Source organism: Homo sapiens, chromosome 2, assembly GCF_000001405.40.
Source record: "Homo sapiens chromosome 2, GRCh38.p14 Primary Assembly".
NCBI classification, from domain to species: domain Eukaryota; kingdom Metazoa; phylum Chordata; class Mammalia; order Primates; family Hominidae; genus Homo; species Homo sapiens.
This window is the reverse complement of record NC_000002.12, coordinates 158,967,126-158,984,581: the sequence shown is the minus strand read 5'-3', so window position 1 is coordinate 158,984,581 and position 17,456 is coordinate 158,967,126. Positions and strand designations below refer to the sequence as shown.

The window sequence follows — 17,456 nt, the reverse complement described above, 5'->3', positions numbered from 1 at the left end:
GTGCACAATGACCAGCTCTCAAGAAACATTTTTTGGAAAAATGAATACAAGACCTCCACCACCCGCTGACAAATGAAAATGGTTTCTAATTTGTCAAATAGTTACCACCTTCATGGTAACTTTTTATCTTTAAAAAACTCATAAGGAAATTCTATTTGTTGAGTTGGCTAACACCACTCTTATGAAGGAAGCAAAAAAGCCTTGTGAAGAAGGTAAAGTCTCTTTACATTTTCCACTGGCTTAGGTCTCAATCACTGTCCTAGAAATGGCATCTCTTTTTTCCAGATGGAAGGGGGAACTAACACCCTTTGATTCCTCCTGGCTTAACTTTTGGTATGTAGAGTTGGGACAGTTAAAAGGGTCCTTTTTGTTGAAGCAAAACATTTCAGAAAGGAAGAGATTAAACAAAACTTTGTAATGGTAGAGGAAAAGTGTAAAAAGCTCAAGTACCACTTGACTTGAAGTCTGTAGGGAATCAAGTTCATTCTGAGAGAACAGGCACTATCTGGGAAGGAGCAGTGTCAGTCCTTGCCTGGCTGAGATCTTTTCTTGTCCAAGCCAGATTCAAAGCCAAAGTCCCAAGACTTGGAAACAGCTGATGACAGAAGACAACACTTTTTGGTTTACCCATAAATGGCAAGAATGCAAGGACCATAGATATCCAGGCATTCTCCAAACTGTTCCTCCACTTCTGTTCAAAACTTAGGATATATTAATTCCACCTTCGCGTGCATCTTTAATAGGCACAAAGGCAATAAGGAGAATCCCCATTTCTCCACTGTGAGGATCTTGAATGAAGCACTGACCATCCTCTTCTCTAGAAAAGCCTGCTCTCCTGTCGGTAATATTTATTTCATAAATGAATATGCATGTATGACTTGAGCACAGTACAATAGACTTATTCCACCTAAATAAAGTGTATTGTTCTAAACCATACTCAAGCAAAACATTACAAAAGTCTGAGGAGCTTCACATGTTGTCAGTCTCAGTAAAAAAATTGATTTTTTAAATACTGATTTTCATAAAAACCAGAGTTTGTTAGCAATATTTTTGTGCCAATAATAAAATACTACTTTTTTGTTGTTTGTTTGGTGTTTTTTTTTTTTTTTTTTTGGGAGACGGAGTCTTGCTCTGTCTCCCAGGCTGGAGTGCAGTGGCGCGATCTCGGCTCATTGCAAGCTCCGCCTCCCGGGTTCACGCTATTCTCCTGCCTCAGCCTCCCGAGTAGCTGGGACTACAGGCACCCGCCACCACGCCCGGCTAATTTTTTGTATTTTTAGTAGAGACGGGGTTTCACTGTGTTAGCCAAGATGGTCTCGATCTCCTGACCTCGTGATCCAACCCACCTCGGCCTCCCAAAGTGCTGGGATTACAGGCGTGAGCCACCGTGCCTGGCTAAAACACCACTTTTGACTCTTACTCCTTCTCCTCTATAAATCACCATCTAAAACTGTCCTACTTGTTAGCTCAAAACATTTCATATAGGCATATAATTGTTTTAATATAAGCAACCAACTCCCATACAGATTATCTTGAAATCAAGAACTTATCTCGACTTCTGTAACAAGTACCTTAAAATTCACAATTTTTAAAACACTCAGAACAATTAAAAACTTCAATTTAACAACTGATCCAGAATGCTGAATAAAATATGGTAAGGACTGGATGTGGTGGTTCAGCCTATAATCCCCACACTTTGGGAGGTCAAGGCAGGAAGACTGCTTGAGCCCAGGCATTCGAGACCAGCCTGGGTGACATAGCAGATCCTATCTCTACAGAAAAAAATAAAAATAAAAAAATAAAAAAATTAGTCAGGCATGATGGTGCACACCTGTGGTCCCAGCTCTTGGGGAGGCTAAGGCAGGAGCATCATTTGAGCCCAGGAGGTTGAAGCTGCAGTGAGCCAAGACTGTGCCACTGCACTTCAGCCTGGGCAACAGAGCAAAACCCTGTCTCAAAAACTAAATAAACAAATGAAGTAAAACAGAATAAAATAAAATATGGTAAGAGGAGGAGAAGGTGGAAGATGATCTGGTTTTGATAGCTCTGATCCATGCACGGTGCTAAGCCTTTCATACAGGGCTTCGCCTTTGGCCTTGGCATAACCTCTATGAAACAGGAATTATTGTCCCCATTCTACAGACATAGAAACAGGTCAAGTAAATTGCCAGAGCCAAACACAAAACCAAAGTCTATCTGGTTTCAAAGATCATCCTTTTTACCATATCCTATATGTTTGTGTTTTTTTAAAGAGGGGAGAAAAAAGGAGTGTATATGTATATTTTTAATGGACTAAATATAGTTACAAAGTACCTACTCTGTCCAAGTCACCTTATTATTCACAACAGGCAAATTTTAATGCAGAAAACAGTGTCCCTGCTGGTTAAAGGATTAAATATAAGAATGCGCTGGGAGCTGCTTATGACAGCTACCATTCATCATGCAAAGCTTCTTTATATATACTAAGCTATTCTTCATTAAGATTCACAAAATCCTTTAACTTTTCCCAGACATACAACTAGCACTTGGAAGGATATCAAGGGAAAAAAAAATGTAAATAGCAAATTAAGTTAGCAAAGTTAGCTATGATAGGAACTTTTATTTGCTTGTCTGGGTTTCTAAGACAATGTACATAGAAAATTATCACCCCGAGGGTGTCCTTGAATTTATGGCTGTATTTTAGATTAGCATAAGCATTTATCATGAAAATATTCTGTTAAAAATTTATCAAGCAGAGGTAGAAAGAATGCACATTCCTAAATGTGTTTTAAAAATAAGTGTCTATGGAGTATTATTTTACCATCACAACTCAGATACTTGTCATTCGGAATAAAATTCAACCACCAAAAACGTTTAACACCCAGGCCACTTTACCCAAGAGACACATGGTTTATAGTCTCAAGATATACTGAAAACATATCCATTTAACCACGCCAACTATTCAGAATACCTTTCCAAACACACCTGGAATCAATTCAACTTGCATCCCTTTGATATACTAATAAACCTAATTTTTAAACTCTAAGCTGTTACTTCTTTATATATATATATATATATATATATATATATATATATATATATATATATATAAAAGCTATATATTAATTGCTAAACTTTTTAAAGATAGGGTCTCACTCTGTCACCCAGGCTGGAGTGCAGTGGTTCAATCATAGCTTGCAGCAGCTTTAATCATCTCCCAGGCTCAAGCAATCCTCCCGCCTCAGGCTCCCTAGTGGCAAGGACTACATACAGGCTTGAACCACCATACCCAGATGATTTTTTTTTCACTTTCAATAGAGATAAGGTCTCACCGTGTTGCCCAGGGTCCCGAACTCCTGAGTTCAAGCAATCCTCCTGCCTCCACCTCCCAAAGTGCCAGGATTACAGGTGTGTCTGACTCACCATGCTGCTCTGAATTGCTAAACTTAAATGTCTGTTCTCAAATCATAGAGGGGGTCGGAAGTGCAGAGGGGAATCTTAGTCTAGGACCTATTTTTGCCAAAAATATTTTACTTGACTCTAATCTTGCTTTTAGACCTAGCCTCCAGTTTATAGGAAATACAGGAAACAATGGGACAAGGTAAACACCGCCACAGGAAACAAATTCAGAATATGGGACAACCCAGAAAAGTCAGGAATGGGAGGGAGGGAAGTAATGAGATATTATTTTTCTACATTTAAAAAGACGAAAGAGACAAACAACAACAACAGCCCACAGTGCAATGTGAACCTTGATTGAATCTTGGTTTCCAAAAAACAAAAATGGTGACAAATGCTATTTAAGGGAGAATTTTTTTTTTTTTTTTTGAGATGGAGTCTTGCTCTGTTGCCCAGGCTGGAGTGCAGTGGCATGATCTCGGCTCACTGCAAGCTCCGTCTTCTGGGTTCACGCCATTCTCCTGCCTCAGCCTCCTGAGTAGCTGGGACTACAGGTGCCCGCCACCATGCCCGGCTATTTTTTGTATTTTTAGTAGAGACGGGGTTTCACCGTGTTAGCCAGGATGGTCTCAATCTCCTGACCTCGTGATCTGCCCACTTCGGCCTCCCAAAGTGCTGGGATTACAGGTGTGAGCCACCGCGCCCAGCCCAAATTAGATAATATTTTTAAATTATTGTTAATTGTATTAAAAGTGATAATGGGGTGGTGATTTTTTTAAGTCCTAAGTTAGAAATGCATAGCAAAGTTAGTCAGGCAAAATTACATGATGTCTGCGATTTGATTTTTAAGTATTTCAACAAATTAGATAACCCAACAAACATTGTTCTCTGGCCAAAAAATGTTCTGGAAAAAAAAAAAAGTTTCTACAATTCAATGTGTTTGGAAAACACTGACTACTCTATTTCCCTTCCAGGATATTTATAATGAACACTAGATCTAAGGGTGCTCAAAAGTCCTGTAGTTAAAAACAAAAATACCTGGTTTACTTTGGTTAACCCAGATTTTCCCACTTATTTGACCACAGGACTTTTTTCCCTGCGTAACACCTGTTAACTTCCTAAGACTCAGTTTCCCCCAGAATGCATTTTGGGAATTCTTGCTTTACTTAAATAAATCCTAAGAAAAATAAGGCCCTCTTAAGTTACATGGATGATTCACCAACCCCTGAATAAGAATTTCACAATTGCATCTATTTGCAATTTAGGAGCCACTCACTGTTTTGATGTCTTTTGCATCTATAAATATGTTTACTCTTTAACATGTTTTGATTTATAAGTCAGACTCTTTCTACAATATGAAATCCCACTGCAAAAGTTCTTTGAAATGGAATTAACTTAATTTATTCAAACCCATTGCCTTGGGAATCTACAATGAAACAAATTTCAAATTGTCAAACCATACCTACTTTTTACTTTCAAAACTACCTTAAGATATTTCAAAGCTTTCCCTAACCCTTTCCAAAGACTCATGAAAATAAATTACTGGATTTACAGTAGCCAAGAACAACAACAACAAAAAACCTTGAAATCAAAGCTCTTTTGAGTCTTTCAGTTGGTACTTAGGGTTTCCAGGACCAGAAATAAAAGCCCCACAGATTCCCATCTTTATGAAAACGGTAAGTTTTTTTTTTTCTTTTTTCTTTTTTTTTTGAGATAAGGACTTGCTCTGTCGCCAAGGCTAGAATGCAGTGCTGTAATCACAGCTAACTGCAGCCTCAACCTCCCAGGCTCAAGCGACCCTCCCACCTCAGTCTCCCACGTAGCTGAGACCACAGGCATGGTACCACCATGCCTGGCTAATTTTTAAAAAAAAATTTTGTAGAGACAGAGACTTCCTATGTTGCCCAGGCTGGTCTGAAATTCCTTGGCTCAAGAGATCCTCCTACCTCAGCCTCCCAAAGTACTAGAATTATAGGCATGAGCAACCACACTCAGCTAAGTGGTCCTATGCTTATAAACAGATCCTTTGGAAAAACTGAACTGGATCCCAAAAGAGATTCACCTTAATCATGAATTCTACTTACTCCACAGGTGAAAGTTTCACAGCAAGATTTTAAGTAATATCTGCAGTTCATCTGAAAAAAATTATATCATATTCCATTTAAGAACCCCAACACTTAAAAACTCATTACACTTAAAAACTCATTGGAAATGCCCTTAAAAATGGCCAACAAAGAAATCTGAGCTAGAAGTCTCTGATGCAAGAAAACAACCAAATTTGATGTTCCCTTGCCTCTAAGGAGGCAATTTATAATGTTCAAAACACTTTATATACATTCTGTCATTTGACCCTCAAAACCCTGGAGACATGTCTGTCTTCCATCAGGGGAGCATATATCTAACATAGCTCAACTTGAAAGCCTACAACTTGTGAACTCTCAACTATCTTTGCATAGAGGGAATACTGACATAGATAACTCTATTCAGCTAAGCACTACAGAGCCCATCACCTCCCATCTCCCAGTGGGGATGCTCAGGCCAGATCCTACCCTGGGGAGTTATCGCCCATGATTTTGCTTTGTGGTAGTTGCAGACAGCTCACTATCTGCAGGCATTTAGATCTTCATACATCTCATCCACCAGGCCTTTCGTGTTACTCCACAAGGACTCTCCCTTGAACTCACTGCATCTGCTAGGATTGTCTTTAATGTTTTTGCACTATCATCCTATGGAACCTCCCATTTCACCTGTGTCAGTGTTCCCATGTGAAAGAACATGGCACTGTAAATAACATGCATGAGGGCACACAAACCAGCCAGGAAATAAAAATTTTCCAGGTCTGAATCCTGGGTCCTGCTGTCTTGGTTCTGTGAGCTCCCTGCCCTCAATCTCCTTTCATGTACATGGAGCTCCCTGCCTTCCTAAGGCTGCCAGAAGGCTGGAGGCGAGACCCACCCCAGAGTAACAAGTCCAGAGTGATGTTTAACAACTGTGGATTCTCTGTCTCCCTTTCTCCCAAAGGAGAAACAGATTGTTTTCTTTTTAAATGAGAAAGGTAAGACAGGACCCCCTACCATCAAAAAGCCTACAACCCATCTGCAAAGCCAATAGGCGAACAACTTAATAATAAAAAGCAAACAGAGAAAGACATTATAATGAATGTACAATGTACTAGGGAGACTAAAAGGAAAGAAAAACTGAAATGTGGAAGCGGGAGTAAATCAGAAAAAATGTTCATAAGAAAGCAATATTTATTTAAGCTAGCCCTTGAAAGTCAAAATTTCAGTGGTGGTGGTAGGGTGAGGGAAGAGGCAAAATTGAAACAAAGTATCAGGGACGGGCAGGAGTTCAGTGGTATTAGCAGAGACAAGGAGAGGACAGCTGGGCCTGCAAACAAGTTAGGGTCCAGATCACAGAGATTCTTGAAAGCTAAGAATAAAACAGGGACAGCTACTACTCTTATCTGTCCTTATATCAGGTATGATGCTTTCAGCTGCAAGTAACAAAAATACCTAACTCTAAGTGACTTAAATTGTGGTATCAAAGCTTTTTTGATCACGCAGGACTATCAGTTAAAAAAAAAAAAAAAAATTAGCCAGGCACGGTGGCTCATGCCTGTAATCCCAGCACTTTGGGAGGCCGAGGCGGGCAGATCACTTGAGCTCAGGAGTTTGAGACCAGCCTGGCCAACATGGTGAAACCCCATGTCTATGAAAAATACAAAAATTAGCCAGGTGTGGTGGTGCACACCTGTAATCCCAGCTATTCAGGAGGCTGAGGCAGGACAATCACTCGAACCCAGGAGGCAGAGGCTATGGTGAGCTGAGACAGCACCACTGCACTCCAACCTGGGCAACAGAGAAAGTTTCCATCTCAAAAAAAAAATTTTTTTTTAATTAAGCCAGGTGTGATGGTGCACACCTGTAGTCCCAGATACTTGGGAGTCTGAGGGGACAGGATCACTTGAGCCCAGGAGTTGGAGGCTGCAGTGAACTATCATCACACCACTGTACTCCAGCTTGGGCAACAGAGCAAGACTCCCTCTAAAAAAATAAAAAGTAAAAAATTTTAAAAACGTATTGAAGCTCAGGAATTTCAGGGGAAAAAATTTATAACATATATACTAACATATTATAAATTGTATTAATTTATGTGTAATTAAAACTAGTTATGAATGGTATGTATACACACACATGAATGTAGTATATACATTATACAACATTTAAAACTTTTAAAGGATGGGAGTCAAACAGTATTTTTAAGTTCATTTTTATTAATAATACAAATCCAAACATAATTTTGTTGTTGTTGTTGTTGTTTTTCAAGACGGAGTCTCATTCTGCCGCCGAGGCTAGAGTTCAGTGGCACAATCTTGGCTCACGGCAACCTCCACCTCCCAGGTTCAAGTGATTCTCCTGCCTCAGCCTCTCGAGTAGCTGAGATTACAGGTGTACACTACCACACCTGGCTAATTTTTGTATTTTTAGTAGAGACGGGGTTTCACCATGTTGGCCAGGCTGGTCTTAAACTCCTGACCTCAGGTGATCTGCCCGCCTTGGCCTCCCAAAGTGCTGGGATTACAGGCATGAGTCACCGCGCTCAGCCCATACATAATTTTTGAGCCACCTTCTTGTCAAATTTGTTTTAAAAGTCATGTTCTAAACTCATAAGAACATTTTCTTGTTCCTTTATACTTATATCATTATCATTACACTTTCTTTGCAAGAATCTTTTTAAACCACTCGCCCATTTTCTGGGGGTCAGTTTAGTTAAAACCAGATAATCTAGCCATAAATGTATTTAGATGGATAGAGTTCACCAAAGGCAAGAATAAGAATGAGGGTACCACTGTCAATTCCACCAGGTTGTAAAAGGCCCAGTCTTCCCTCAGGCAACCTCATATAATGTAAGTTGATAAAAGACTACCAGATATACCAACCAGTGTCAACTCATACATTAAATATTTTAAAAGCTTAATTTTTTCTAACATTCTTGAATATTTTCTTCCCTCCCATATTGGATGATCTAGCACACTCCACTCTGGGGACCACTGATCTTAAACAATAATGAGGCTGGGCACAGTGGCTCACACCTGTAATCCCAGCACTTTGGGAGGCCAAGGTGGGAGGATCCCTTGAGCCCAGGAGTTCGGGACCAGCCTGGGCAACATGGGGAAACCCCATCTCTACAAAAAATACAAAAATTAGCCAGGTGTGGTGGTGCACACCTGTAGTCCCAGCTATTTGGGAGGCTGAGGTGGGAGGATCACTTGAGCCCAGGAGGCAGAGGCTACAGTGAGCCATGATCATGCCACTGCAGTCCAGCCTGGGTGATAGAGTGAGACCCTAGCTTAAAAAAAAAAAAAAAAAAGATAAGAAAGAAACAATAACGAAAATGTTTTTTCTCACAGAAGTTCTGAGTCACAGTGGTTCTAGGGCTGGCTAATCAGCAGCTAAAATAAGTCATTGTGGGCTGGGGATGGTGGTTCACTCTGTAATCCAGCACTTTGGGAAACTGAGGTGGAAGGATTGCTTGAGGCCAGGAGTTCGAGACGAGCCTGGGCAACATGGTGAGACCCTGTCTCTACCCGCCCGCCTCCTACACCCCTGACACCGACAAAAAAAAAAAAAGTAATTGTGGTCTTAGGCCACCTTTAGTCTGCACTCGGTGCTACTTGTTCTCTTGTGCTGACAACCTTATGCTTCAAATATGCCAGGACCTAACAGGCGTCACATACATATTCATTAATGAGTCACTGGCAAAAGGTATGGCATTACTAAAATTGATGGCTTAATCAAAATTCACTCCCTGGGGCAGGGGACGCATCCACCTTACCCTTAAGTACATGGCCAGTGGAAAACTAATCAAAAGCAGGATTATAGTAGTAAGCACAGTCACCCCCCTCCACACCCAACCCTCCATATCTCAGGTTCCATGGCCACAGATTCAACAAACCTAGGTTAGAAAATATTCAAAAAATATTCTAGTAACTGACCACTGGAAAAAAGATAACAATACAATAAACACAATAAAATACAATAAATACAATAAAAATATAAATTTTAAAACAATACAGAATAACAACTATTTATCTAGCATTTACATTATATTAGGTATTATAAATAATCTAGAGATGATTTAAAGTATGAAGGAGGACTGGGGGGTTGGCTCATGCCTGTAATCCCAGCACTTTGAGAGGCCAAGGCAGGAGGATCACTTGAACCAAGAGTTGAGACCAGCCTGGTCTGGTCTCATAGTAAGACCCTGTCTCTACAAAAAAAAAAAAAAAAAAAAAATACAAAAATTAGCTGGGTGTGGTGGTGTGCACCTGTACTCCCAGCTACTTAGGAGGCTGAGGTGGAAGGATTGCATGAGTCCAGGAGGTTGAGGATGCAGTGAGCCATGATCACACCAGTGCAGTCCAGCCTGGGCAACAAATGGAAACCCTTTCTCAAAATAAAATACAAAGGAGGCCAGGCAAGGTGGCTCACGCCTGTAATCCCAGCACTTTGGGAGGCTGAGGCAGGTGGATCACCTGAGGTCAGGAGTTCAAGACCAGCCTGGCCAACATGGTGAAACCCCATCTTTACTAAAAACACAAAAATTAGCCAGGCGTGGTGGCACATGCCTGTAATCCCAGCTACTCGGGAGGCCGAGGCAGGAGAATCACTTGAACCCGGGAGGCAAAGGTTGCAGTAGCTGAGATTGTACCACTGTGCTCCAGCCTGGGTAACAGAGTGAGACTCTGTCTCGAAATAATAAAATTAAAAAATATATATATATGAGGGTATGCATAAGCTATATGCAAATAATACATGATTTTTAATAAGGGACTTAAGCATTTGAGGATTTTAGTATCCGTGGGAATCCTGGAACCAATCTTCCATAGGTATCAAGGATGGTTATAATGTTGTAAACTATTGCAGCAATGGCCCTCAATGAATCATGTAACCACCACGGCACCAGTGAGCCTAGGCACAGGGAACCTGGCCCCCATTTCTGAATCCCAAGCAAATAAACAGTTGTTGTTAAGCCACAAGAAGCAAGGAGGACCAGAACACAGAATGCTGTTGTATGGTGACCATCCCTGCCATAGTATTCTACGTATGTAGGACAACAGGAGAAGAAAGAACCAAACTGTTTCATCCACAGACTTTTAAAATTCAAACATGTAGTTCAGAGTCAGCCGGCACTCAATAAACATTAATAATTAATGTTACTTATCCCAAGTAATTTAGAACAAAGCATGGCAGAGAGAGGGGAGTGTAATGGGTTACATGGGAATAATGACCAACTCTTACGTTTTTAGCAGTAATTCAATACCCCCTCATGTCTGTGTACATAGCAATTCAGAGTCCCACAGAATGTGGACAAGTCCACTGCCCTCAAGACTACAGGGGTGTACATCACAACAACATTAAGAATCTTCATATCCTTTGGTATGTTGTTATGATCAGCAGTACCACTTGTGGAAATGTACACTGCCCTGGCTAGCTCTTTTGTTGATCCAGCTCCCTCCCTCTTCCATTAACAATAACCCTCTTCTTTGTGGGATACTTTGTCTCCCCACAGCCCCATTTTATGGGTCTAACCGTAACTCTCCTTTGGCTGGCATCAAGCCAATTCGGGTTCCCTCCAGGGCTTTCCCAAATTGGAACTAACATCAAAAAGGCCAATTCTGGATGTGAGGCTTGAGAGCTATAATACCAGCAGCCGTATACGTATGATCTTTTTCATATTTCTTCAAAAGCTCATGCAACAGAGGATCCCATTTTTGCATGGGTATACATGCATGAAAAGGTCACAGCTGAGTGCTTCTGAGAGACTTCCCTACTCTCCACCCCCATCTCCTACCCAAAGAGGTAATAAGCCACTGTTCATGACTGGCACGTAACCCTAGGTGTGCTGAGGTGGGGCAGGGAAGAGGTTGAGTCACTGTGGCTCTGGGCTATGTGAACTGAACATGATGGGTTCGCATCTGTCTACCTCTACAACTGGAAGGTTTCCCCTAATAAATTCCCTCATGTTAGCGAAAAAATCTGTGCTAAAATCCAGGAACTATGTCATCCCTCTGCAACACTTTTGTCCTTGACATTCTGTCTATGGAACTCTTCTTTCTAGAACATTCTCCTTGATCACACCCACCTGCAGGGGAACCTAAAGACAACACCGACCCTAGAAGGGCAAGTTCCATCAGCAACACAGCTAAACCAAACCAGGAGAACTCCTTTCACTCTCCACAAGATAATGTCCTCTGAAAGCCTTCTTCAAAGTCCTCTATCATTCCAAATCCATGCTCCTGATAATATTATTAAAAACCAAGAATCATTCTTCTCCTTTGCTGCTCTTGTGCCCTCCTGGTACAAAGTGTCCCAACTTCTCTAGCTAATAGCACTTCATAATGTTCTCTTCTCTCACTCATGGAAATGGCGGCAATTTCAGATATACTACACCTCCTTCCCAGCCAATGAGCACTGATACATCTTCTTATTGAGGTTTAAACCCCATTGCTTAATATTTTGAAAAGACATTCCTCTGAGAATAAGTTTAAAAAGCTGAAGATGGACAAGCTGCTCAGACATAAAAGAGCCTACAGCTTAACACATAATTGCATTTTAGAACCTGTTAAAGAAAATCAATACCAGCCTCCAGATGAGTGTCAAGCTGCAGTGAGTGCTGCTAACTAGGCAAGCAGGACAAAGCACAAACATTTAGAGACACAGCAAAAATGGGTCACCTGCAACCTACTACCTCTTTACCATCAACCCAACAGCATAAGGGAAGGATGTATTTAGCATGGAAAGTGCTGCAAAATCAGACTTATCCAGCCATCAGTAGGAACAGTCCAAGAATGATGACACCAAAAAAAGGAATACTCACCCAGGCTTTGCAATTAGGCTGAGAGATACCAAGATCAAAGGCAAATGATATGTTCATTTTTTATTTTTAAAAAGAGGTACAGATTTGAGAAGTGATTTCCTTAAGAATGCTGTCTGGGTTACTAGTCCGGATTATAAATCACATTACACCCTGAAGCCTACTTAATAAAAAAGAAGTTGAAAATAAACAAATGATTAGTTTGAAGCATGTGACTTTCTGAAACTCTCTTGAGGAGAAAGTTTTATTACCATTATTGGTGAACTGTTTTTAATCCCTGACATCAAAGCATAGATGTTAACCCTGGGGTTCTGAAATCAAAATAACTCATATATAACCCTAAAAATGTATTGTGAGAAATTGCCACATATTAACTTTAGTCTGTTTGGCAGGTTTGAATAAACAGAGGAGAAGAGACTAGGGAGAATCAGAAGACTCTGGTTCAAGTTCAACTCAACTATTTATAGATGATACAGGTCTAATTTAACTTTCTAGGCCTTGGTTTATTCAAATAAAGGGTTAGGGATAAAATGTGTAAATCAAGCCCTTATAAACCCCATAGCAGTGTTCTAACATTACAGCACTGGCTTCAGAATTCCTACATTTCTCAAACTTTTGGAGAGTCACAGAACTTTAGGGATGCAAGGTAATCCCATTTTAGGGATGAAAAAAATGAGAAAACCAAGACCCAGAAAGGCTTAAGAGTTCTTTGTACAGTGAACACTTTCATAACGTGGGGAGAAAGGGGGCAGGGAGAGGTTCTGGTTTTTCCACCACTGAAATATGCATTTAAGAGACAGTTGAAAACCAAACTATTTTAAACACTAAAACAAATCCTCCCCACAAATATATAAACACTCTTCTTTATTTTGCTTCTGTAAATGTATTCCTGTAACACAAACTTTATTTTATCATAAAGATAAAAATAAAGCCATTTCTTTTTCTATGAGACTCTCAACCCTACTCTCAACCCAACTGAGACAAAATCTTTACAATTAGGTTAGAAATGTCTAATGGAAACAACGACATAAAGTTAACCTCCAGCTATGCTGGCAGGAGTCATTATAATATGGATTATAGTTCCACTGGCTCAGGGATGCTGGTTTTAATGTTCCCAGAGAAATAAAGAATTAATCAGCAACTCAGAAGAGAACGTTGCCTAAAAATGGACGATTTAATCCAGACAACTCCATTGTCTCTAAAATTATGCCCTCAATCACCCAGTGTCAAAACCTACTATGGCACCAAATAAATCGTGTGTGGTTAAAGAGACAAAATGTTCTTTTTTCTACAGGCTGTTATGGGAAGCAGAAAAAGGCTGACTATGAATCAGTTATATCTTAGATCAAGGATGGATATAAATTATAATAATTTGGGCATTCTGGTGGTTAAACCAAGAAAGCAGGAAAACCATTGCTTCCAAGTTCCAGCAACACTTCAAACCAAAAGGCTTGGTGCCAAAAAGTTAAGTTTGGGGCACCACATGTGCAAGACAGGGTCATAAAAACTCACCTTAAATTTATTTGTGGACTTTTCCTGCTTCCACTAAAATCGATGACACTATTTCCCATCTCTTATTGTCAAATCACAACAGTCCGGAAGCCTGAACCAAGTTCACTTGGCAGGTAACAGGAACAACCCTAGGAGGAAGTCCTGAAGGATATCAGATACCATACTTCCTTTACTGCCACATACTTTTCATTTCAGAACCACCAGGATATATTTATGATGCTTTTTGACTAACACTCACCAAGCATTCTGGCTGACACAAACTGCAGAAACTGGCATACTCTAGGGAAGGTCCCTTGTGAGGTCTTTAAGTAGCTTAGATGAGTAAAACACTCAGACTACTTCTATAATGAAGTAGTCTCAGCCGCTCATAAACTCCTTCATTCCCAGCAATCAAGAAGCAGCTGTTAAAATCCTGGAATCTTCCTAGTAGCAGATCTGAAATACCTCCAGGCTGACCCAGGAAGCTTCACAACTGCTTTCCTCTCCTTCCCCTCCCCTGCCTCAGGAGTGCCAGCCTGGCAGGAATAAAGATGACCAAGGAAGGAAAAAAGAGGGTAGCGGATCTGGTGAAAGCAGAGACGCAGACTCCCTTCATTTCCACTACAGAGAAATACCAGCCCTCTGTGCCAACTAACCAGGTTTCTCCTTTCCTCTCCCACCCCCACCCCTCCAAACACGCATTAACTTCTGCAGTCTGGTGTGTCTGGCATTTCCAGAGCGAGCGATCTCAGCAATCTTGAGCCCTTTCCTCAAAGATTCTGAACCAGGAACTTCCTTTCCGCGCCAGCCAGAGTTTGCGGTCCAACCCACGTTAAGACTCAGCTTCCATTTACCTTGTAACCTGTACGGACGACGCTGCTTCTGGGGTCAAGTTCAAGATGAAAGTTCCCTCCTCACCTCCCAAGTTAACTCCAGCAGGGAACAACGCCACTGAGAACGGTCCCAACACTGGAGGCACGCGGATCTGGAGCTGGCAGGAGGGGGCTGGGAGAAGGCCGTTGCCGAGCCTGGCGTCCTCCGCCCCTTGGCCGCAGCGCCGCGTTTCTACCTGGCCAACGCCACATTTCCTCCCGGAGCTTTACACAATAAGTCCAGTAAGTTTTGAGAACACCGGTCCAGGGACCTTTCTGTCTGCAAACACACCACACAATGCCTAGAGCTTCCTTCCCAGCCAGGCGTTCCGGAAAGCCGCCGCGCCAAAGCCGGGAGCCCCGCACACCCACAGCGCTGCGCGCCCGCACCCCAAAGTCCTCCAGGAAGCCAGTGCCCTGATATCGTCCCCCGAAAATGACCACTCTGCATCCAAGAACAAGGGGGCTCACAATCTTGACAATTACCGCTCTTCTCAGCGCCCCACCCCTAAAGAAAAACCCCCAACGTCTAATCCTAACTCACCCCCACCCCCAATAAAGGAGTGTGGATATGCTAATCGCAGTGTTCTTGGAAGCAAAGCAATAGACTTTCAGCCCAGACTGGGGCAATACCATGCCTCCGGCTTAAGTTCTCTCGGCAACTTCGCGACCCGCGCACCCCAACACTCCGGGGGGCGCCCAGGACCCCGCGGTGCCAGGCGCGCCTCCCCCCGCCTCCCCCGCGCCAGGTACCAGGCGTAGCCCAGGCCCTTGCCAAGCCCGAGGGCTACAGAGAAGGCGGGAAAGGGGGCGAGCGGGCGCGCCGGGCGGGGGTGGTCCCAGAACTCGAGCGTGCCCCAAGCGTTCCCGGTTCCCACCACACCGGTTCCAGGGGAGGCCGGCTCGGTCCGGCGCGGGGGAACCGCGCAAGGAAGGTGCGGACTCCCCAAAGCCGCCGAGAGACCAAGGCCCGGGGCGCCCAACATGTCTGTGCCTATTCCCGGAAAGCTCCCGGGTGTGCCCGGCGGAGGAGGGGGCGCTCCAGAAACTTTCCCACACGCCTTTCCCTTCTCCCATCACCCTCTCCACCCCGGGTCCCTCTCGACCTCTCCGCACACTGGCAGCTGGCCATGCCCGGGGCGCTCGCAGGCCCGCGGCGGAGTCCGGGCTGCGGGAGTTACCTGCCGGGAAAGTTTCCAGCTCCTCAGCGCGGTTCCCCACACCCAGGGCCGGGCCTCGGGGCGAGGCCAGCTCGGCGCTCCGCGGCTGCCTCTCCTCCGGCTCCCGAGGCGGCCGCCGCTCCAGCAGCTGCCACAGCAAAGCCTCCGCTCCGGCCCGTCCCCCCGCCTTGCTCGGCCCACACCGGGGCCTCATTGGCAGCGCGAATCCCCGCCCTTGCGCGTGTTCCCGAAGGCACCTTCCTCTCGCGCGCCCGCCCCGGCCGCGCCTCCCGCGCCCCTCCCCGCCCCGGGCTGCGGCGGATCCAGGGACCGGCTGGAGCGCGGAGCGCGAACTTTCCGCGGGGCTTGGGCGCGAGGTCCCCTTGTCCCGCCTCTCGGCGCCAGGTCCGGGCCTGAAGCACCCTACCATCCCTCTGGGCACCGGGTCCCCCGGGGCTGCGCCTAGGCCCCTCTGGGACCAAAATGAGATGGGCCATAGTCTTTTTTACAGCCTCTTCAAAATCAATAAAGCGACCCGGCCTTCCCTCCTCGCTGCTTTTTTACCACAGCCGAGGAGGACATATGGGAGCAATTAACCGAGCTGGAGTTTCCGTGGACGCTTTGGGGTGGCTTGTGCGGCTTTCTTGGATTTTCTCTGCCTCACTTAACTACACACAAACACAAACACACTTTCTGGGGCCAGAATCAGCTAAATGAGCTGGAAGGTCTAAGAAGGCATCTCACCGGCTGCGTCTTTTTATTTCCCAAAAGGAATGGGGGACGTTCTGGGGCCGGTGATTTCCCGGGCGTCCCTGGGGCCGCGGGTCTGGAGCCTCCTGCGACCGCTCCGGGCTGGCCCGTGCTGTCTGCGCTACATTCACAGAGGGCCAGCGTCGTGCTTCTGTCGGAAGGAGGTGGGAGGGACGGAGGGGAGAGAACACACAAAGATGCTATTATTTTGTCGGTTGGTGGCAGTAAATTAAACTCCTGAGTTCCCAAAATGTTTTGTTATTCTCCAGCAGAGCAAAAACCAGGATAGGGACTAGGGATTCGGGTGTCCTGGGTTCTCCAAGATCCTCCCAGGAATCCCAGGCAGCCAAATTGGCCTAAGGGACTCTGCTCACTTAATACCCGAAGCTCTCTAAGACAGCCTTCGTTGATCTAGTTGACGAAGGAAGGATCAACTAGAACTGCCGCTGCCTTGTGTGGCCAGCGGGAATTGTGCACGGGTCACCCCATTGGTGTGTCTGGAGCAGAGAATAGAGAAGTTGCTGTAAACCGATTTATTGGTAACCCCTAACCTTGCTGTGGCAAACCCGCCTTAAAATACGATTGTGTTTTAAACAAGTTTCCTCATAAAAACTTCAACCTCACGCAGAGCTTCCCTATATAAAGACACCAGCAGGAGGGGTGTCCATATTTAAAGTTCTTATGAAAAGGGACAGGAAGCAAAATGCCACACAATCTCTTTTCATAAATTAAAAAGACTGAAATGGACTGGATTTTTCACCCATAGTTTCAAAGGCCTGATTACTGCTGTGTTGATATTTGAGCAGTAAACACATCAGCGGCCTTGAAGTATTCCCGAAACAAGGCAGGATAGAATATTGAAAATAAAAATACAAACTTAAACCAGAAAACTATTGACTTCTTTCTCCATCTGAAATGTTTCATTGCT

At 43.8% G+C, this 17,456-nt stretch overlaps 1 protein-coding gene across 37 annotated transcripts in view, besides 2 other annotated features; it reads right to left on the bottom strand.

The window, feature by feature from the left end:
- Positions 1-15,942, bottom strand: part of TANC1 (tetratricopeptide repeat, ankyrin repeat and coiled-coil containing 1) — a 264,020-nt gene extending 248,078 nt beyond the window's left edge. For 36 of the 37 annotated variants that reach the window (NR_146421.2, NM_001350065.2, XM_047446107.1 and 33 more), the window contains exon 1: positions 15,800-15,942. The gene's annotated coding sequence lies outside the window, so the exon portion shown is untranslated. Of the gene's footprint in view, positions 1-14,600; positions 14,955-15,799 lie in introns of those variants that run through there. The other variant, XM_047446110.1, reaches the window with a different exon arrangement.
- Positions 15,907-15,986: a silencer, noted in NCBI's record as "silent region_12041". NCBI's record gives its function as "represses an Ori minimal core promoter by ATAC-STARR-seq in GM12878 lymphoblastoid cells {active_cell/tissue: GM12878}" and the evidence as "EXISTENCE:reporter gene assay evidence [ECO:0000049][PMID:35858748]".
- Positions 16,047-16,156: a silencer, noted in NCBI's record as "silent region_12040". NCBI's record gives its function as "represses an Ori minimal core promoter by ATAC-STARR-seq in GM12878 lymphoblastoid cells {active_cell/tissue: GM12878}" and the evidence as "EXISTENCE:reporter gene assay evidence [ECO:0000049][PMID:35858748]".